Raw genomic sequence first — 24,347 nt, forward strand, 5'->3', positions numbered from 1 at the left:
GGGTAGTGGAGGTTGCAGTGAGCCGCACTCCAGTCTAGGTGACAGAACGAGACTTTGTCTCAATTACAAAGAAAAAAGAAAAATATTAATTTTGGAAAGTAAATGAGAAATAAGTACTTTAATATGCTGTTAGCGGCTGCATCAACTTCAATGAGCTATTTCACATTTCTAGTAAAAAATACTTCTGCCTTTTTAACCAGAAATTGATCTCTAGTAATATATCCTATAGAGACATGCATATATGTGCACAAAAAGACATGCATACAGATTTATTTCAAATAAATGAAGGAGATGAAATTAACAAAAAAGCATATTTTTACTGTAAAGCAGTATATCTTATTTAAAAGCACACATTCTAAAGAAAGAAAATTAAATCATGGTATGATTCTGAATAATAATTGTATATGATACCATATTCCCTTACATCTGATTCAAAACAGCTAGATGAATGCATTAATCTTCTTTAAAACTAATTATATAACCCATATTTGGGGATTAAGAATGTTTCTGACTTCATCTGTCAATATGATAGACAGTACGTTAGCCCCACAGATTTTCTAAATAATTACGAAAACATTCATATTTAATGGATAAGGAAAAAAGCCATTGCTGTTTCAAAATGAATAACTTGTGTGCTTGATTACATAGTCTAATAATTTAAAGCACCTTTTGTTTTATCTTACAAAATATATTATAAAATATTATCTGCTACATGGTCTTTTCTTATGCTCAACTTATTTCCATTTCTTAATAAAAGGAAAAGGCTATAAAATTTAGTAAGTAGAAAAATAAGTAAAAGGTATTAATATTCTTTCTTGTATTCTTTATCATATTATACAAAAATAAAAGATAAATCTTTATTTATCAAAGTCCTCTCACTTTTTCTGCCCAATGATGTTGTCTTAAATTTTTTTATCTCTTTAAACTACTCTCTGACTTCCTCATTCTCATCAGGGAATACAAGGAAAATGGAGAAAATAAGACAAGACTCTCAATTTTGCCACTCAGCATCCTCTGTATTCAATAACTACTTCTTGAGTGTCCTCCATAGTCTTAGGCACTGCACAAGGTCATGAGGATACAGCAGGGGATGAGTCAAATCCATGTTTGACCTTAAAGAACTCAGAAATTGTACTTCTTTCTTTCTTTTATTAAAGGAAAAGTTAGCTATCCAGCCTGTTCAGTTAACAACAGCAGTATTCCACCTCTCATCCTATCTTCTCTCCACAGAAAACTGTAGAGAAGCCACTTGAATTTGGAGAACTCCACAGTCATCTATAAAAGTATAATTTCAATAGATCACATTGAAGGCAGAAGTGTAATTTCACAGGTTGGAAGTAAGCATTTGATGAGGAAACAGATGCATTGTTTGTGTGTGCAGATTTGTTCAAAATAGGCTGACTTGTGAAAGAAAGAATTTAAGTAGAATGATAACTAGGGAGAACAGGAAAATTGAGCCAAAGCATATTCAGTATAGAAGAATCTCATACATGCTTACAAATGGAGGAAACTGGTAAGTAGAGGAGAATGGAGAATCTAGCATAACAACAACAACATACAAACATATACATGAGGGAACAAGGTGCTGAAGGAGGTAAACTAGTTTGATTGAAGGCATACCTTAAAAGTAAACTTACAAAGAATAGAAATATTTCTTCTAATAAAGTTGAAAAGCTGAGAGGCCAGATTTCTGAAGAGGATGGATGGTCTCTGATAGAGCTCTATACAGATGATTTTCCATGGCCTCTATGATTTTTCATGGCCTCTGCAGGAGATTCACTTGGAGAGTAGAAAATCAGGAATCTAAATAATTAGCTAGCTAAGAAATTTAAAATTTGTTTTGAACTAACTTTTTCAGAGCCCTATGGAAGAAGTGTGAGTTTTATTCTATCTCTAACAATGGCTCTGAAATAAACACTGAGTTCTTACAATGCCTATACCCCGCTAATTTTCAATAGGGTAACTTATGTATTCTTACATCAATCCTGGGAGGCTAATGCTATTTATCAAATGACTGCACAAATGAGACAACTGAGCCAGAAAGTGGTTCAAGTAAAATTTGAATCCAGGAAATTTAATTCCAACACTCTTAATCATGAATATATATTTCCTCTGAGCTTATTTCCACAAGACATATTAGGATATTAGTAAATAAGTTTAATTCATATTTACTAATGATACAGGAGAAGGGCAGGGAAGTGCTGGCAGAGAAGGGCATTGTCCCCGGTGAGGGTTCTACCCTCGGGCCTGTGGCCCACGGACCTAAGTGAGAACAGCACTCCTATTTTCACGTCCGAATGTTCCATTTTCCAAGACCACTCTGACCCACCATGCTCCCCCCATCCTGTGCCTATAAAAACCCCGAGACACGAGGAGGCACACAGACACAGGCAGCTGGACATTGAGTGGAACACACCAGCAGAAAAACACACTGACAGACACTGTGTTTGCCATCGATGGCAGAACGACACGGCCATAGATGGCAGAACGAAGCGGATTACATGGAATTTGGCTGAGGGTGGTTGGAGAAGAGCCCAGCCACTGAGCTGCCCAACTCCAGGGGAAGACCACCTTCCTACTCCATCCCCCTTCTAGCTCCCCATCCATCTGCTGACAGTTACTTCCACCACTCAATAAAAAACTTTGCACCCATCTTCCAAGCCCACATGTGATCTGATTTTTTCAGTACACTAAGGCAAGAACCCAGGATACAGAAAGAAGCCCCTCTGTCCTTGTGATAAGGCAGAAGGTCTAATTGGGCTGATTAACACAAGCTGCCTGTGGACACCTAAGCTGAAAGCACACTGTAACACACGTTCACTGGAGCTTTGGGAGCCGTAAACACCCAACCCTAGATGCTGCCGTGGGGTCCACATTCCCCACTACCTGCCCATATGCATGCTCCCCCTAGGGGTTTGAGCTTTGGGACAATGAAGAAGCAAGCCACACCACCGTTGCATGCCCTGTGAGGGGGATAAGAGAACGTTTCCTGTTTTACCTGGGGCTCATCCAGGATCCTGGAAGGAGAGTATGAATGCAAAACTGTAGGATCTGCCACTCTTCCAAAACACTGCCACCTCTCTCTCTTTCCTGTGAGTAAAAGGATCTGTTTGCCCTCATGGAGTTTTAACCACCCTAACCAGGCTGGTTAAACACCCCAGACTTCGTCTCTTGTCTCTCTCTCACTGTTTGAAAGGCTCTTATCTCTTCCTTTATGATATTAAGAGTTTTGCTAGAGGCTGTGGCAATGTTACTAGGTAAAATGAGCATTTCACTCAGCTGCCAAAGGTGCAAATCAGACCACCTGTAGAGGTACACCGACTCAGCCTCTACCTAAAAAGCCACAGGCAAGTATGGCTCTGGGTATCTACCCTTACTCTTTCCCCTCCCATCTCGGGTGCCTGGGCATGTCCACAGCATGCAAAGGCCATGCCCAACAGCCACCTTTAAATTGCTTTGCCATTTTAAGGAACACATGAAATCACATTCTACTGAGAGTTTCAAGTGTGAAATACGCAATAAAAAGTATCTTCTGGAGAGCACACGGAAACAGCACCTAAATTGAACTACCCTGAAGTAGTTGGTAACTGGGAAAGAACTAGGAAAAAAAATTCATGTATATCAGTACTGTGGGAAACGGTTTGACGATTTTGAACATTTTAAAGAACATCTTTGAAAACATACAAGGGAAAAACCTTTTGAATGTCCAAATCATCATCAATGATTTGCTAGAAATAGCATCCTCAAAGGTCACCTCACTGCATGCCAAACTGGAGTAGGGACAAAAAAAAGAAAGAAGCTCTATGAATGCCAGGTTTGTGACAGTGTCTGGGGTTTATATGTAGATTATCATCATTATATTGCCAGACTCATATTATTATCTACTATTTTAAAAATATTTGTCTTTTATATTCACTTGTACTCTCAATTTCTAAATTGTTTTCCATTCAAGTGTAAAATATTTTCCAGGTTTTTTTCCTAATAGGTTAGATAAATGGTATATTTTCTGAACCCCTGAATGTCTAAGAATATATTTATATACCAACATACATTAACTATCTTGCCTCTACGTGAAACTGTTAGCCCACAACATAATTTCTTTTAAAATTCTGCAGACAAAATTTTTCTATTATCTTCTGATATATGGAAGTGAATAGGTGAAGCCACCTAAATTTCCCCCCCTGCTCTTGGTAACCTATCTGTCCCTTTTGCCTACATATTTATTGGCAGGACTTTTCTTAATTGCTGTAGTATAATAACTTGACTAGATAATAGTAAACTAGGAAAATAAATCATTTGGAGTTATACATTCAGGTAAAGAAAAAACTCTTCTATGACATCTCTGATTATTGGTTATACTTATTTAACTTTCTCTTTGGGGTATACCTATTTCTGCCTCCCTACTCTCGATTCTTAACTCTGCTCTGTTTTTACTCAACATGTTATCATCTCCCAACATATTATATATATTCTTGTGTCCTAATGTTTATAATCTGTCTTCCTCCTCAGGATGTCATCTTTGTGAGAGCAGGTGCAATGTTTGCTTTGTTTATTGCTGTATTTCCAGAAAATTGAATGATACCATAGCTAGAATGCAAATAGTTTTTTAGTGAATTCAAGAAATCCCACATTGGGTCATCATTTATCCTGAATATTACTGAGTTTGTCTCACATTACTGTATCTTAATTTACATTTAGAATTTTAAAAATAATTTTCTATGATGTGTTTCATTTTCTGTTAATTTTTTCATTTTTACTTACGGTGGGTGCATATTAGGTGTATATATGTATAGGCTACATGTGATGTTTGATAAGGTTGGGAGGGAAAGCAGGTGGGGAAAGGTGGGGATGGTTAATGGTTACAAAAACATAGAATGAATAAGATCTAGCATTTGATAGTACAACAGAGTGTCTCACATAATTTTAAGCTTTATCATTTTCATCTGCTTTATCAAGAGCTGATCAAATTTCTTTTTTCACCACTGATTGTATTTTTCTTTAGCTATAATTCTACTCATGAATGCCTGCAAAGTGGAGTTTATTTAATGTTTTTAGATTCTTAATTCTGTCTTACCTCTTTCCTTTGTTTTATCTCAGTCTATATTTTGCTCCTTTTTCAAAGAAGTCATGCTTTCATGAACTGTGCTGAAGTCCTAAAATTACGCCAAGGTGTGTCCATATCTCTGAAGTTATCACAAAGGTTAATATTTTTCAGTATGCTCCAGGATGTTAGAATATAGTGCGTAGTAGTTGCAGGCACTGCTACCAGGGTTCATCTGTATCATACAACCTGCAAGTCTTTATTTTTTGAGGTGATCCTCTTAAAAAGGTCTTATGATTGGATTATTTTCCCAAGACGTTCTCTCTAGTTTTTCTATGCTTTTCAACATCTGCCTGCATGTAGAAGAAGAAGTAGTGGAGACCCAGGAAAAAGTCCTCTGTTTTGCACAGACAATCTAAAAAAGACAGAGAAACTGATACTCAGCTTCCTCATTAACACAAGTGTAAATTCTCCAGGCAGAGGCAGAGTATTGAAGCATTTTCCTTCCTTGGTCTTAGGCAGTCTACGTTTTGGAGCACAACAATTTGGAGCACAACAAAAATAGGAAACCTGCTTAAAGTTTTCTTATGGAAATTCTTTTTGATGTATACTTAGTGTATTTTTCTTTAGGACTTTATTAATTGTCAAAATTAGTTGTTACTGTTATTACAAGTTTAGACATTTTCTAGGGTATTTGAGAATACATAAAGGCGCAAAGCTACAAACGTGAGTTTTAATTAAAGTAGTATTCAAACTTTTCGACAAAAGTTATATACTCTAAGTGAAATTATCTAAAAATACTATAGGAAGTGTGGATATCATTTACCATGATGGAACTACTAATAACTGCAACAATTATTTATCTGTATGTCTTTTCTTCTCTGAGTATTCATTATTTACTACCTAACACCTAGTTGTAAAAATTTTAAATGTTTCGCTTTTTCACCCAGATCATTTATAACATTAAAACTTTTAAAAAATTAATATACTCCAGGCTTTTAAATGTTATGTATGTATATTTTTTCACTTACCATAGAGACAAGATTATTTAGTCATGAAAATGACTATCCATTCACTTATGAGCAACTACAAAGCTGTTTCTTGCAAATAAGGCCAAAGAGACTGCAAATACTCAAGGCCACACTAATTTCTCTTCCCTTTGAAAATCTACTGTATGTTGCTTACTTATTAGCAAATTCATAACACAAAATATTCTGTGGATAAAAGTGCCAGAAGGGACCTTACAGATGATCAAGTTCAATGTACAAATGAGAGACTGGAACCACAGAACTTTTGACACCTATTCAAGATTTCAAAGCCAGCTAACCCTAGAACACAGGTCTTCCCATTTCTTATCTAGTTTTATTTTTTCAGCCAAACAGAAAGGTATTTAAGGACAGATATCATGTCCTCTGGGTCCTAGTAACCTCCTCCATGCACATAATATTGGTAGGAAATTTAAAAATGCTTTAATGTTGATATATGGTTGATGATGAACAAGACATGCTTTTTGGTTTTTTGTTCTAGCTTGACTGTGTGGTGAAGTAGCCATTATGTACTAACCTGTCATGTGGCAAATAAATGCGACAACCCTCAAGTTTTTCTCTTAAGATTACATCAGAAAATAGAAATAGGAGCCAGGTGTAGTGGCTCACACCTGTAATCAAGCACTTTGGGAGGCCTAGGCAGGCAGATCACCTGAGGTCAGGAGTTTGAGACCAGCCTGGCCAACATGGTGCAACCCCATCTCTACTAAAAATACAAAAATTAGCCAGGCATGGTAGCACACGTCTGTAGTCCCAGCTACTAGGGAAGCTGAGGCACCAGGACAGCTTGAACCCATGAGACGGAGATTGCAGTGAGTCAAGGCTCCGCCACTGAACTCCAATCTGGGCAACAGAGTAAGACCCTGTCAAAAAAAAAAAAAAAAAAGAAAGAAAGAAAGAAAGAGAGAGAGAGAGAGAGAGAGAGAGAGAGAGGGAGGGAGGGAGGGAGGAAGGGAGGGAAGGAAGAGTTAATATATTATTTGGTTATAATAATAATTAGAAAACATCTCAAAATTTAGAAAGCATACCCATAAACATCATCTCATTAAATTCTTCAACAGTCTTGTGTGGTAAACATTATATTATCTCTAAATTATTAACAAGAAAAAAAATCCAGAGCCCAAGTAACTAGCTCAAGTTTGCAAAGCTAATGAGTGAGAAGGTAAGAAATTAAACTTACTCTATTTCATTAAAAAGCTTAAATTCTATTACTTCTCCATAGACTAATGCTATTTATTAAATCCTGCCAAAATACTTCTGCATTCAATGCTACCAAAGTCAAAGTTATAACTATTACACAATATTCAACAGGACTATAACCTAAAATGTTATATCTTAAAACATGTAAACTCACTTACTACTTAAATGTATCAATGACCATAACAAAAGGCATTTATTTTCATTGCTGTATCAATATATATAGGCATAGCTAGGGTGAAGGAAAAGGTTTTATTTTATGCAGCAGTAAGTAATACTGAAAATCAAAAGAGTAGTATCTTTGATAATTTCACACATATTACCTAAGAAATAGCTGCTCAATTTTCCTCAAAAAAAATCTACAGGGAATTTTCATACAGAGCTCAAACTAGCTAAGGAACCACTTGGTTCAACAAGCTCTCTTTCTATACTGATGGTTAGCATTGAAACATACTGCCACCTTATGACAATTCTTTTTATATCTTAATTTTCAGAATATTCTGTTATAAAAATAAACCTTCACCAGGAATATAGCCATAATGTCTAGAAATTATCTGGAATTTATTTGAGATTTTTAAGTTATTAGCTCTATTGAAAGCAACCTGAGAGAAAAACACTACATTTAAAAGGGTATTTTTAGATTTGGAACAAAATAATAATTTTGACATGGTTTCACAAGGATTTTTAAATCCAAGAATCAGGCATATAACTGATTACATGCTGGCAAGTAACCTAAAATTTAGAATCTATTTTTCCAATAACAGTTTAAGAAGTTATATTCAAGTATTTGCCCTTATTGTCTCTATAATTTTGCAAACACACACACACACATACACACACACACAAAGACTTACAAGCTGCAATAGCTTAGATTTGAAGAAAGTACAGGGAAAATAAAGACTAAAATTGAAAAAAGACTGTAAACATAAATACACTAGTGTGTGAAATTTACAAGAAGACAAAATAAAACAGTACTACAAAATTACTACTACTACAAAATAAAGTACCTGTCTACATATAACCCTCTTTTTGAGTATCCACAGTAGAAATTTCCATTGCACCATGAAACATGAAGTTTTTATACAGGAACTGATTTATTCTTCTCTATGGATCCAGTGATTCATGTTTGTAATGGGTTCTCTGTTTCCCTTTTTGCATTAGTTGCTAAAGTACTTACAGAATAATTTATTTTTTATCTTTATCAAGTATATAAGAAATCATGGCGTGCATTTTGTACAGTATTATCACTCCTGGTTGCATCTTTTTTTTTGGCCTTATTTTCACTTTGGCCTGGTAGTACCATTTACTTTATGTAACAACTTGTTTCTATGGAAAGATAAGAATTTAGAAGTTGAACAACTAGAACCAACTCTAACTTTTACTAGCTGTAGGGCCATGATCAGTTACTTCATCTCTAGGATAAATTATAGATTGTCTATTCATAAGTTGTGACAAAAAATACCTTTAGAGATATCTAATATTTATTGGGTGCCTAATATATAATGGCTACTTACATAACTTAATTTCTACATTGTTTGATTTCAGTGAAGCTTCTAAAATCAAGTTATGTTTTATAATTACATTTAATGCAGTTGTGTTCTCCCACAAAAGCAATTTTTAAATCAGTGATGTCTTGGAATTGAGGAAAAAGAGTATTAACTTATTGTACTGTACTTTTGTAATCACCTTTGTGTTCTTTTCGAATTAAGCAGAATTACTAACAAAAACATTTCAGTAAAATGCTCAGTTGCAGTTAAATCATAAATGGGGAAAAATTAGAAACTGATGAACAAATAAAGGCTATGATTAAGACTTCGACATTGTTGTTTTGAGAAAAAAGTTGACAATTCAGTAAACTTTTCCATATGTCATGAACACTGAAAATTCACTAAAACTTGTTTAAACTTCATGGACAAAAGAACAATAAATTTTTTAAAAAGTCATGCACAATAACATAATGCTTAGTTTAATTACTGATTTGCTGTTTGCCCAAAGTTTTAATCAAGAGAGTTCTTACATGTGGATAACAATGATGACATCTGTAAAAGCTAGTGCCACGTTTAACTCCTCCAGGCACTACAGCACCTGGTGACGCCACAGGGAAGAAATCATGGATACTTCTTGAACATACTGCAACAGCTGTCAACTCAGAAGGAGGTATATTCTAAGTTCTACCAAGCAAGTAGTACTCTACAAAACCTCATTCTGTCCCTTCTTTTAACTGAAAAGAAGCCAGATGGAAACATGCAACTTGTCAAATTGCAAATGAAGAATTACTATAAACTGTATTGCATGGATCTCTGGGTGTTCACCACTAAAAATTTGGTCGCTCAATTTGCAGAGTAATTTCACTGACATTTAAAGAAAACTAAAGATGCTTGATACTATTTCAGATAAAGACAATATCATATTTTTAAGAGAATACAGCAAGGTAAAGACAATGAAAATATGAACGTATCTTTAACATAACAGCAGAACAAATAACTAACAGGCATTATTCTAGAAGCTTCATAATGTCCAGAATGACTACAACTGCAACTCTCACGACAGTTAATGGGGCAATCTGCTTGGAGCACACAGCCACAGAAAACCAAGAAAACAAGCTGTATTACTCATGATACAGCAGTCTTAGCTACACTGCTATGGTTGGCTAAACCTCCACCTGTATCTTCATTATAGAGTTCTATTTCCATCCACTGTATGTGATTACTATAAATGTTTAAACATTTTGAGGAAATATTCATTGTAAATGTATACAAAAGTAAAAACTAATAAATTTGCTTTATACTTTTGGTACAAAAATTACCTATGATTTTAAGACCACCATTTGTTTGATAAAATTAGACATATGTAGTTATCTCATATTTAGAGTGTAAGCATTACCATTTCTGAGATGCCCCAGGGAATGTTTTGATTTGCTCATCCATTCTTGTATGTCTACATATATGCATCCATTGAGCACCTACTGTATAACATGTTCCATGCATGTTTAGTTACATAAAGACATCCTTTCAACATCATTAAACCCTTCTTTAACAACTAGAGTCTTGTTTAGGGTAGAAAAAATGCCCTGCAAGTTCTGAAACAAAATGATTTATATCAACCTGAATCACATCCTAAATGTATATGTGATCCTAATGATGTGATAAAGATCACTGAGTTCCTGAGAGTATCCATGAACACACCTTCCAAAACTGTGGTACAAATAATTTCTTAGCAGCTTTAAATGATAGACATTATTTACCTATCTTCTAAAGAAACCCTAAAAATTATACAAATGATTTTAACAAGTCAACTCACATTTTTTCTATACCAATAATGCATTTTAATGTGGTTAATCAGCACTAAATAATATTTCAAATGCTTATAAATTTAGATACAGCTTAGCTCAATAACCACACCATGCATGTCCACAGAGGAGAAGACTGAGTCTTAGCAAAGGTTGAGAAAGCTGCTTAAGATCACACAGAAACAGGATATGGTGGTTCTGACTGATTCACTTTAGCGTCAGGCCTGTGTCTCATTCCAATCCTTTATTCTTTGGTAAATCTCTTAGACCGAAAAGTGCAACACTGGAAGGTATTAGTACAAGGTAACCATGTAGGGACAGAAAGATAAATTTTAAGTTGTTGAGGAAGTAAACTCAGACACCTTTTTCTGTTCTCTCTCTTCCTCATCCTCTCACACTAATAGATACATGATTAAACCACTGCAAACAAAGGTCTGTGGAGGATGCTTTGTCCATACTGCCTGGTTCACTTCACATTACATAAATCACGGCGCAGAGCTACCAGCCTAAACCACCTCTGTTATCTTCATTTCTCTACAGATTTGCCTTTCTTTCAAACCCACTATCCCATTTTCTTCTGTGGCCCCAGACAGCTGTCTTTGCAGCACAACAGACAGCAGTCACTGCAGCTTTGCTTTGAGCATGTTCTACAGAAGTCCACATCCCTTGCAGTTGCCTTTCCTGGATCATGGGACCCCATCACAGTGAGCTCTTCCCTATCTGCAGGTAGAGGACTAAGAATTATACATTTGCTGGGGGCACTGCCATGTATACTCACTTTACTTCCCATTTTACTAAACTGTATTCTAATTTTATTCATTTCCCTGTTTAGATTTAAAACGTTCAGTAAAAGCACAGAAAGTAAAAGTAGTATAAAGGCAAGACCAGTGAATGAAAAACAACTCAGAAATTGACCACAAATTCAGTGCTACTTTATATGACAATCCCTTCTATCTTTAATAGTATTAATCAAATGTCTTAAATCATTTATAAAGAGTAAATTATTTTCCTTTGATACCTTTGACAGAATAAATGGTCAAACTCCTTTGTTACTTTTGTCTGTAGGAGTCAGGACTGAGAAAGTATTCTCTGGATATCAGGTGGTGGTATCATCAGGGTGATACCATGGTTCACCCTAATGTGAGCCATGTGAGCCGACATAGTGAAGGCACAGTCCTAGGGGAATGTGCAATACTGTGGTGGGCACTGGAGAATTCTGAAAGCATGGGGTAGGAGTGTGTTGGAGAGAAGCACCAAATGCTAGCTGTTATAATCCCTGTGTTACTCATCTCTCAAATGTCCCCTTTCTATTTCTTACAGAGCCAACGCTGTTGAACAGAAAAGGATAAAAAATGGATTTTTGAAAAAACTATTATTCGAATGATCATGACTATAAATAACTGGCCTCCTCCAAAATGAAAAAGAACTCCATGCCCTAGTTGTACAGGAATAGGTATTGATCATCCTACTTAAAGTAATACTTTTATACAAGATGACTTACACCACAGAAAATCAGATGTGCTTTATCGGGTTTGGCAAGTAGGGACTGCTTTCCCAGGGAGATGTTTCCAAATAAGGAAAGAATACAGCTTTGTTATTTTATTTTATTTTTTATTTATTTATTTACTTATTTATTTTTTTGAGACAGAGTCTTGCTGTCACTCATGATGGAGTATAGTGGTGTGATCTCGGCTCACTGCAACCTCCACCTCCTGGATTCAAGTGATTCTCTCACCTCAGCCTTCTGAGTAGCTGGGATTACAGGCATCCACCACCACACCCAGCTAATTATTGTGTTTTAGAGATGGGGTTTCACCATGTTGGCCAAGCTGGTCTTGAACTTCTGACTTCAGGTGACCCACCTGTCTTGGCCTCCCAAAGTGCTGAGATTACAAGGTGTGAGCCACCACACCCAGCCTTGTTATTTTATTTTTAATCAAAGTAAGGAGGCATCATTTACCAGAGGTCATGAAACTGGAAAAGACAAAAAAAGTTGCAGATTCGGAAGACAACTCATTCAGAGAAAGGCTACACCTTTCTTATGGTCAGTAATTTATTCTAAATCCCAAGTCTAACCCAATATCATGGTAACAGAAAGCATCAGCTTTTCCCTGAAATCTCTCATGCTTCCAATAAAATAATGGTTCCCATGACAATAGATGCTACCTCAGCAGAGGCAAGTTCAGAGTACAGGCAGTACACATATCTTGGCTTAATAAGCAGGGAGGAAACTACACTGGCAGTATTATCCTCTCACTTTCTTTTTGCTGTTAGTAATAGAAGTAATAGGTTATAAGAGATATGAATCACATTATCAGCCATCTAATATGCAATACTTGACTTCATTTGATTTTCTATTCCAAAGAGACTGTCAGCGTTCAACATAGGAGGAATACTAAAAAGCAAAATGGGAGACATGACGATTCCTGCTAATTGCCATTCATTACCTCTCCAAACAACAGTGTTTCCTTAGATATAAGCCATGCTTTTCCTTTTTTTAAAAAAAAAAATTACTCTTACAGTGTAAATAAAACCAATTTCTCAGCGCTTTATACCAACAGTTGAGAGTGTAGGTATCTACTTAGTAACCAAGCTTCCCTGGCAAGAAGCTCTAGGGGATATATGAAGTAGATCTCTAGATGAAGAGGACATAAAGAACAAGAGAACACACTTAAGTCTCTAAGTGTTTTAAACAAATGTAAATATATGTAGTTTTATAAGACTAAACTATCTTTCTGAAGAAGTGTAGTACAAAATGTTCTGGGTGGTTCTCATTTAACAAAATAGGCGATTACTTTACCAAGAAAAGAAATCCAGTTTATATTTCCTATTACTCCACACAGGCACTATGGAAGCACTCTCTCTCATAAATGATCTGTGTTCAAATCTACCTACCTCTCTCCTATTTCCTTTTCAGACAGTCTCTTCTAACTACTGTGAAAAACATGTGAGGGATGCATATTACCAGATTAACCTGAGTTATCCAATGTGACATTGTCATGAGACTGTGATTTGGACTGTCATCTATATCAACTTCTTAAGGCCTCCATTTTTTATACAGTTAAATAGACACTAACAAAGGTAGCCAATACATAAAATTTTATGTCCAGAAGAATTTTAATGACAAACAGATGCTAGGAAAACAATTCCTGCCCTGGTTACTTTTGTGTGAGGATATAATGTGCTTAAAAGCAAGAAAGACAATAAGCTATTTGTAAAATATAATTTTTTATAATTTCATGGTGTTCTGATTTTAATAAACACAAATAAATTTATTAATCTTTGCTGTCTAATGAAAATTATTCACATCCTGTTGTTTAGTAAAATCATTAAATGAGAATATAGCTAATACAAACTTTTATTTGTAGAAAGAGAAAAACATAGCAGCATAGCAAAATATACTTGCATTTTGTATAAGCTTCAAACACCACAAAGTCCATTGAACGTTTAATAATTATGCATATTTCATTTGTTATTTTCATAATGTATAACATATAAAAGTACTTTACTGAATATGAGAAAGGTAAAAATCTATCTCCCTGAGATACAACATGCACCACACAGATTTCTTCTATCTGTGTGTTCTTCATACTGTCATACAAATCAGTTTGGATCACTGTTTTATGTTATGCATATTATTCAATTTGAATATATATTTAAAGTGGTATTTCACAAATGGAAGAAAATAATTACTTACACACATATTTGTGATTTGAAGCTTTCAACAGGCAATGACACTCATCCATCAACAGTCTTCAATGCCGTATGTTTTTATAGCAGTTCTCCAAACATGAATAGAACCTAAATATGCAGTGAGTTTCAAGCACATCACACACCCTGTGTTTATTAATAGATCTTTATGCTGGCCACAAGAGAGATTATCTTTTTTTCTTTTGGGCCACTGACTCTTTTTTTTTTTTTTTTTTTTTTTTTTTTTTAGACGGAGTCTCGCTCTGTCACCCAGGCTGGAGTGCAGTGGCACATTCTCCGCTCACTGCAAACTCCACCTCCCGGGTTCATGCCATTCTCCTGCCTCAGCCTCCCTAGTAGCTGGGACTACAGGTGCTGGCCACCACGCCCAGCTAATTTTTTGTATTTTGTAGTAGAGATGGGGTTTCACTGTGTTAGCCAGGACGGTCTCGATCTCCTGACCTCATGATCCGCCTGCCTCGGCCTCCCAAAGTGCTGGGATTACAGGCTTGAGCCACCACGTCCGGCCGGGCCACTGACTCTTGACTGCAATGATATCTTCCCAATTTGGCCTTTAAATCTTGGGTCAACGATATGCCTCAGCCAAATTAAAAAAAAAAAAAAGAAAGAAAAGGGATTCAACTTCTCTCCCAAAATACGCAATTTAAGACAATCAGAAGATGAATGGCAATTAAATCACATTACTCTAAAAAGAACAAGGGCAACTTTTAGAAAAGCATTCCTTTCTCTTTTACATGTTTATTATTAACCAACACTTTACCAATTCTAACAAACTTGATGATTGGTGCCCTAGAAAATTTATATTTCTGATGAAATTCATGGATTCTTTTAACGTACAGATGAAAACAAGTGTGATATGTAAAAATGTGGACATTTGTGACGTGTAATTGGCCTTCACTTTTACGCAAAAGACATCTTCCTTACAAATGATTTTTTTTAAAGCACAAAGATAAAATGTGCTTAGTCCACTCTGAATTATTGTAATGTTCTCATCTAAAACCACCATCTATCAAAGATTATCTTATTTTATACCAAAGGACCATCCATTCAATATTTATCCTTCTCATCCTGGAAATGTGCTCACACACAAGATGAGGGCCCTACCTGAGGAGACATTTGTATAAGTCATTTTATTAGCTTGTCTCTGAATAAAACAGAATAGACACCTGAAGTTTACACCTAAAGAGCAGCACTATTTTTAGGCTGAAGAGTGTGATTTCTGAAGGCCAATATTAAATTACACATTCTGAAGGCAATGAGTTAACTTATGTTATCTTGGCAACAAGGAGTTATTACTTATTTTGTTTGACCTAAAAATAGCAAAAATTTGCAAAGGGAAAGCTTGTTAAAATATAGTATATACCTGAAAGAATTTGGGTGGAAATAAAAAGCTAATTATTACATAACTAGTGAGGGAGAAAACTGTGTAAATTGTTCTCCTTTTGCATGGAAGTTCCTAACTTCTAGACTAGTTAGCCATTGCTTCATATTTTATGCTTTATTTCTCTGGCTTTGAGGAAAAAAAACCACAGGTCACTGTGAACTAAGAACAGTCCTTAAAATATTCATGCATTCTCCTATTTTCCATACAATAGTAATGAAAAAAATTGAACATTTGGTCAATTACAGAAAATACTACTACAATTTTCAAGTTATATATGCACACAAATAATACCTAAATTCAGAAAGAAAATAAAGCCTCTCATCTTGTTTCACAGATTTCCCAGTAGGATACTTGATATTGGCAGTGAAAATATTTGAAAGCATAACTTAATAAGCCACAATTGCATCAACATCTAAAGTAAAATGAAATAAGTGAGACTTTTATCCTAAACAGTGAAATAGATCATAATGAAAACACTTTGGAAATAAAGAAGTTTCAAGATGCTATATCACAACTGCTGGCTTAAATTGTCAACCTGCATTTCTAGCCTGCATTTAGAATAATGGCAGTCATCCATGGCAAAGTTCCCCTGCTAGTCTGTAATACGTGAAGAAGAAGAAAGAGGTCTATTTACAAGATTCAACTTACCGTTAGGCAGAGAAGTAGCAAACACTTTAAAGAATAATTCTTGGCAAAGACTGCAAGTCTAAGGCACACCATTTAAAATAATGATCCTTCTGCAATTTTTATGATGTCCTCCATTTGTTCATAAAAAAGAAAAAAAAAGCTAAATCTTAAGGGAAATTCTGAACAAACAGAAGTTCCGTCGAACAAGGCTATAACAATAATAGAGCACTTTTGAAAACTAAGTTAAACTCAAAATCCTCTTTTCTGAAAAGAGGTGAAGATATTTACATGTAAGTGCTAAAATATAAGCATATATAAACATTGATATTACCATAATCAACAACTTCAACATAAAGATCACTCTACCATTGACCTTTATTGGTCACCTGCTGCATACATATAAGAGACAAGATTTAGTAATAAAGCTTCCTCTAGAAAAATCACACGGTAGTAGAGAGGTAGACAGGTTAAATTGCCATTGCAACACAATGTGAAAACTACTTTATTTGTAATAAGTGGCAGCTTTACTTCAAAGATGGTGCCAATAAACCCTCCCATCCCTGTATGTCCGTGATATTTATCCCATGAAGATATATAGAGAGCTGCAACAGCAATCCATGAGGTATGTGCAGGACGTGGGGCAGCTTTGGGGAAGAAACAAAGCTACAGAGGAGGCACATTAACAGAGACTTGGGACCTTCATTCCCTTCCCTTGAATCTGGACTACTTTGTGAGTTCCAATGACCTATAAAATGATGGCAGAAGTGATGCTGCACCAGTTTTGAACCTGGTTTTAAAGAAGCTTGGTAACTTCCACTTTTGCTCCTTTAGAATCCAGACCTCTAGGCTGTAAGATATTAGTTTAGCCTACCAAAGGAGGAGAAGCCATATGAGAGAGAAGAAAGATGCCAGATACCTTAGCTGACGATCAGTACCAACTGTCAACTACATGAGAGACCATCTTGGTCCTGCCAGCATCAGCGGCGCTCCCACATCACTGAAATAGTTTGAATGAGCTCAAGCAAGACCAACGAACTACCCACTGAGTCCAGCCAATTGACACAATTGCAAAAAATTATAAGTTGTTATTGCATTAGGCCATTGAGGTTTGGAATGGTTGATTATGTAGCAATTGATAACTAACATGAAGTGAGAAAAAAGTGATCAAGGAGTACATAGGCCTATAGAATCCAACCTGATTTTCCCAAGGCTAATCAGCTAATAAAGGACAGAAAGGCAATTCCCCTGAATTCTCATCCAGGATTGAATAATATTGCAAAGGCAAAAATACAAGCTGTATTATTTTTCTTATTGTTGTTGTTGTTGTTGTTGTTTGTTTCCAAGCAAACTCTGGCTCTATGGCCCAGGCACCATCTCGGCTCACTGCAACCTCCGCCTCCCAGGTTCAAGTCATCGTCCTACCTAAGCCTCCTGAGTAGCTAGGACTACAGGCATGCACCACCATGCCCGGCTAATTTTTGTATTTTTTGTAGAGATGGGGTTTCACCACGTTACCCAGGCTGGTCTCAAACTGGTGAGCTCATGCGATCTACCGCCCACCTAGGCTTCCCAAAGTGCTGGGAACAAGCTGTTTAATGCAAACACCTGTGGCTGAATAAAACCTTAACCCAAGAAATAACCTGCACTGGGGTACACATTAGTACCTTCATTCAATAATAAATTCATAGTGACCCAGAATCTGGCTAATGTCCACATAACAGCCCTAATTTGAGTATAAAATTAATCTACTAATTACCCAGTATTAAAATTTGAAAGCACTATCCATATATTACATATTTCAGAAGCAAATATAACTAATCACATGAGCTGACCCTCCCTCAGAAATGCTTTATATGAGACACAGTTTAATGATATGGCTTCTGACTATACTGGGAGCATCAATCATTTAACAGCATTTCTTTCTTTTGCAAAATTGAATCACAAGCTATTATTTGCATGTTTACTATTGATCAGTAAGATACAAAACCCTGCATGGTGAATTCTAGTAGTTTAAATTCTGGGAAATAGTTTATGAAAATGAATTTTAGGCTTTCACCCTCAGAAAATAAGTCATATTATTTATTGTAGATGATAAGGAAAATTTTAAATAGCCTTGTTTTTTCTGTGCTTTTTTTCTCACCTCCCACACTTCCTTCCAAGCCCATATGACCTCATGCTGGCCTAAGTTCCTTTGCTACTTCATAATTTTCTCAAAAGCAGTATTTGAATAACAAAATTAAGAATAAAATAAATATGTCTTCTTAGATATACCTCCTGAAAGACTCCGTGTCCACAAATCACTCAGCTCCCTTCCTCAAATCAAAATGCTCAACCTCTGAGTACAGCTGATCTCAGCTAGTTATTAGCATGCAGCTTTAACACAATATGATTAATTTATATACTGCTTTAAGTCTTTGATAGACTTAGAGATTGATGGTTTTGAAAAACAAAAAACGAAGCCCTTCAAGATTGCAAGGGAGAAATATCAAGTTAAAGAACAGAGAAAAACCGCAAAGCATCACTTGAGGTATTTGTGGGAGGTGGGGCAGCTTTGGGGAAGGAACAAGTCTAATGAGGAGCCACATTAACAGAAACCTGGGACCTACGTTGTAAACTTTTCATCTACCTCCCTCAAGAAATCATCTGGAATCCCCACACTGCTTACCATTTTCTAAGAGCAAACTCTTTCTGGTATTGGAGAAAAATGATCAATTCTGTCTTAAAGTTGGCCTAGGTTCAAAACGAATACTCTTCATGGACCCAGCTGACTTCAAGATCACGTGCTTTTTACACAGAAAAGTTGCTGCTAAAAGAGGTCACTTTTCTTGCATAAGAAAGAGAGGAATGATACTAATATTTTAGTCTCTAATAGTTATTTCTTAAACATATTGAAAAGGATGATACAAAGCCCAGAAGGATTCTACACCAGACGACCCTAGAGAGAACTGATTTTCTACAGAATTTACACATTTCAAACAAAAATACAATGTTTTCATGGAGGGCACAGAATAGTCTGCAACAATGTGATTTATATGGTTCTCTTACTTTTCTGACATTTGTCTCAGAAAACGTGCTTGAATACATTCTATTTTTCTGCAAAATGTGGATAATACCATATGTTGAAAAAGTAAAAACAGTGTGGTTATTTTCTGTGTTCTCACCATTTGGATATTATTTCTTACTCTCTTCACATCTCTTTTTCACTCATCTTTAGAATTCTTCAAAAGACTAGGCTCATGTTAGGTCACATATTGGAAAAAGTAGAATTACTAGAAAGACATTCTGTTGAGTTCAAAAGATTCAATTAGGAAAAAAAATCAACAGATGATTTTAATCAAATTTGTAAGCATGATTAAAGATTATCTACAATTTTCACGTCCTTATTTGCTTTAGTATAAGCTGCTATCAAAAATAAATTTCCAGTTATCTATTAAACTATTGAAAGACATTTTATGAATAGATAAGTTATTCTGTTGAGCTTATAGCTTCTTTATTAATTTTTACATATTCAGTAAGAAAAAAGGCAGTTGGTTCATCCAAAGTTATGTCTAAATAACAGTTTAATACATAATGTACATAAACACAGATTTTTCTCATAAGACATCAGGATTACCCACAGTTCTCAAGTGGCATGATTCACATTTTTAAGAAATATTTAATGCTTCCCTTTTATTAAATGCTTTCCACAACATTGTGGGATGTATTGTATTTCCGACCCCTTCCTATCAAATGTCAGAGAACCTAAAAATCATTGTGACAATCATTTCCAAATGTCCATACATTTCCAAATGTCCTCCAAAAGACAGGAACACCCAGTCCCCCAGTTAAGAACTACTAGACTCACAATATGATTCAGGAAGGAAAACATCTTCACAAAATTAAAACCACTGAAACCTCTGCTTAATTTGGAAACCATAATGATGTGCTTTTGCAACTGTAGCATTAGAGTATTGGAACAAGTTTTGTGGTCTAATGTAGATTCATACTACAGGTGTGCTAAATTTGTACCATGTGTAAATTTTTTGAAGGAGTAATTTGCATTTTTGGTAACACAGAATGTCTCCAGAGAAGCCATGCTTAAGTCTAGTAACTAAATGTGATGGTCTGGTTGTGAATCAGCTGGCCTCAGATACAGTTCTTTTTACTACTTTAAAAACTTCTTTCTTTTGAGAAAAAGAATAATTAAATGCTAGTGTATTGACTAACCTAATTTATCCTATTCAGTTTCCCACACTGAGGACAGAGAAAAAACAAGCATTTTATACACCTGTCTAAAGCTATTCTGATCACTAAAATTTGTGCACTCAAATATTTAGCTGCACCAATATTGTAATGGATCTTTTTTATGTTACATTGTAGGAAAAGACAAAGAAGTAGAAATATAGAAAGGAAGTTAGTAATGGGTAAAAAAGAAAAAAACCCAAATATTGTCAATATCCTATTGCTCTGCGAAGCAGAGTGCTCATAATATTTTGAGTTTGAGAAACCAATTACAAAAAAAAACTATATTTTTAAATGCTTTAGCTGATGGAATGGATTCATACTTCTTAATTGTTCTAAGAGAACCTTTCACCTGCTAACTCTATTATGCATAGTCATAATGCAGTACCGAGTGAAGATATTTCCATTAACAACTATTTTTGGTATGCCCATTAGACACAAGGAAGGACAGTGCAGTAAGAAGACCTTAATCATAGATACTCCTGACGCCAAACTAGTCATATGGCCTTGCCCATCTCCCAAAGAGAAAAATACTGCTACTGAGCTTTTATTTTTTTATTTTATTTTTTTTTTTTGAGACAGAGTCTTGCTCTGCTGCCCAGGCTGGAGTGCAGTGGTGCAAGCTTGGCTCACTGCAACCTCCACCCCCCAGGTTCAAGCAATTCTCTCTGCTTCCAGGCAGCCAACACACCCAGCTAATTTTTATATTTTTTAGTAGAGACGGGGTTTCACCATGTTGGTCAGGCCGATCTTGAACTATTGACCTCAGGTGATCTGTCCACCTCAGCCTCCCAAACTGCTGGGATTACAGGCGTGAGCCACCGCGCCTGGCCGCTACTGAGCTCTTTAGTCTGCATCAGATCTTCTTAATGCTAAATACTTTACACACATAGTTTTCTCACTTAGTGTTTACTGCATGCCATTATCATTATCTCCACTTTACAGATGATGAAACTAAGCCTCAATCACATCAAAACGCCCATAAAATTTCATGAAAATAAGAGAATGACACTTCATCTTAGTTCTTGTCCTCCCAAAACCAGTAATCCCACTCTAATCATGAGGAAAACATCAGACGAATTCTAAGTAAGGCACATTCTACAAAATACTTGACCAATACTCCTCAAAACTGTCAAGGTCATCAAAAACAGGGTAAGTTGGACAAACTGCCACAGCCAAGAGAAGCCTCAGAAGACATAACACGTAAATATAATTTGGTATCCTGGATGGAATTCTAAATCAGAAAAAGAACATTATGTAAAAACTGAGGAAATACGAATAAAGTATGCACTTCAGTTAATAATAATGTATCAATACTGGTTCATTAATTTGACAAAGCACATTTATATAAGATGTTAAAGATAAAGGAAACTGACTTGGTGTAGGTGGGAAATCTCTATATAGTGTACTGTCTCTGCTATTTTTCTGTAACCCTAAAACTATTCCTAAGTTTTAAAATATGTTTTAAAAAACTACCATGCTGAGAAAAAAATTTAAAGTCCTTACAAAATGGAAAGTTATACTATGTTCATGGGTCAGAAGACTCAATTTTGTTAAGATGGTGATTCACCTCAAATTGATATATCAAGTCAACACAGCCCCAATCAAAATCCTAGCAGATGCTTTTAGTAAAAATAGACAAACTTATTCTAAAATTCATATGGAATTTCAGGTGACCTAGAATAGCCAAACAACTTATAAAAAGGAAAACTAACTTTGAGAACTATAACTAACTGATTTCAAGACTAACTGTGAAGACAATATGATACCAGTGTTAATATAGAAAAAAAGATCAATGCCACAGAATACAAAGTCCAGAAAGAGACCCACAAATATACTGACAACTGGTTTTCATAAAAGTGCAAAGTCAATTCCGTGGAGAAATGAGTCTTTTCCACAATGGTGTTAAAACAATTGGATGCCCATATGAAAAAAACAAAAACAAAACAAAACGAAAAAAAACTTTGACCATAACTCATACCATATATAAAATTTAACGTGAAATGTAACCTAGAGCCAAATGTAAAACACAAAACTACACAACTTCTAGAGGAAAACATGGCAGAAAATATTTGCAACCCTAGGGTAGACAAAGATTTTTTTAGATATGACACCAAAATACACATCATAGCACAAGAAATTGATAAATTTAACTTCATCAAAAATAACAATTTCTGTTCTTTAAAACACCTGGTTGTTGTGTTTGTTTGTTTGTTTGGTTTGTTTGTTTGTTTGTTTGAGACAGGGTGTCACTCCAGTCGCCCAAGCTAGAGTGCTGTGGTGCAATCATGGCTCACTGCAGCCTCAACTTCCTGGGCTCAGGTGATCTTCCTTCCTCAGCCTCCCAAGTAGCTGGGACTACAGGCATGCGCCACTATGCCCAGCTAATTTTTGTATATTTAGTAAGGATAGAGTTTCACCATGTTACCCAGACTAGCCTCAAACTCCTGGGCTCAAGCAATCCATCAACCTCAGCCTTCCCAAATTTTGGGATTACAGGCATAAGCCACCAGGCAAGGCCAAAAGACATTCTTAAGAGAATGAAAAGACAACCCACATACTAGGAGGAAATATTTTCAAGGCACATATCTGATAAGAACTTGAATCCATAATATTGTTTAAACTCTCAAAAATAAATAATAACAGAAACAAGCCGACCAAAAAAAATAAACAAATGTCCTAAACAGACACATTACCAAATAAGACATACAGATGGCATAAAACACATGAAAAGATATTCAGCATCATTCACCATTATAGAAAAGCAAATTAAAAACGTTAAAGACTGATCATAGATGTTTACAGTTAACATATATTACTTCCGTTTTGTTTTTAAATCTCTATTTTAAAAAGCTTGTTTGACCTGGATTCCATTCACCTAAGGGTACATATTATCAACATGACTTACTACCATTGATATCAATCTTGATTGCCTGGCTAGTTAGTATTTTTCAGGCTTCTCTTCTGTAAAGTTACTCTTTTCCAACTCTTTACATATTATACTTTTCGGAAAAAAGTCACCACGCTTATTTCACACTTAAAAAGTGGGAAGCCATGCTTCACTTATTTCAGGGCAGGGTACATAGATTTTTAGTACACATATCTTTCACATCTTTCACAAGTCAGATTTATCCCTAGTACTGTATAATTTTTATGCTATCTTAAATGGTATTGCTTTAAGTTTTAATTTTTAATTGTTTGTTGTTAGTGATTAGAATATATTTGATTTTTGTATATCAATCTTGCAATATACCTAATCTTGTTTGTTCTAGTATCTTTTTGTAGATCACATTAGATTTTCTTTGTAGAGAACAAATAAGAGTAGGAAATAAAAATAATTTTACTTATTTCCAAAATAATAATAATGTGAGAAAGCAGTCTTAACTAATGGGATGAGCACAGAGTCCAGTTAAAGTCATACTTCTTTATGTAAAGTTACCAGTGTTGGGTAACTTCAAAATGGGTGGCAGAAAAATTTACATGAGAAAATAATTATTTTTAATTTCCTACCCTCTCTAAAAAGACATTTAGCAATGGGAGGCAGTTTACTACATATTCACCATATTTAATTCATTCATTCAACAAATATGCCTAGCTACAAATTTCATCAAATTATTTTATTCTATCATGTATCAATTTTCTAACTGCTAAAAGTGTATAATTTATAGTGTTAGAATGATAAATAAATACATAATTAACTACTCAACATTTAGTAACTGATACTAACTGTTAGCTATATGCTGATCTTGCTAACAGAATACATAAAATACGTTTTAAAAGCAAAATAACATAGAATGGAGACTAAAGATCATAATGCACATTGACGCAATT

At 35.3% G+C, this 24,347-nt stretch overlaps 1 protein-coding gene across 8 annotated transcripts in view, besides 1 other annotated feature; it reads right to left on the reverse strand.

Annotated features, from left to right (window-relative positions):
- DPYD (dihydropyrimidine dehydrogenase) overlaps positions 1 to 24,347 on the reverse strand; it is an 843,317-nt gene that overhangs the window by 693,458 nt on the left and 125,512 nt on the right.
- Positions 10,647 to 10,696: an enhancer, noted in NCBI's record as "active region_1356". NCBI's record gives its function as "activates an Ori minimal core promoter by ATAC-STARR-seq in GM12878 lymphoblastoid cells {active_cell/tissue: GM12878}" and the evidence as "EXISTENCE:reporter gene assay evidence [ECO:0000049][PMID:35858748]".

This window comes from Homo sapiens, chromosome 1, assembly GCF_000001405.40.
Source record: "Homo sapiens chromosome 1, GRCh38.p14 Primary Assembly".
Lineage (NCBI taxonomy): Eukaryota > Metazoa > Chordata > Mammalia > Primates > Hominidae > Homo > Homo sapiens.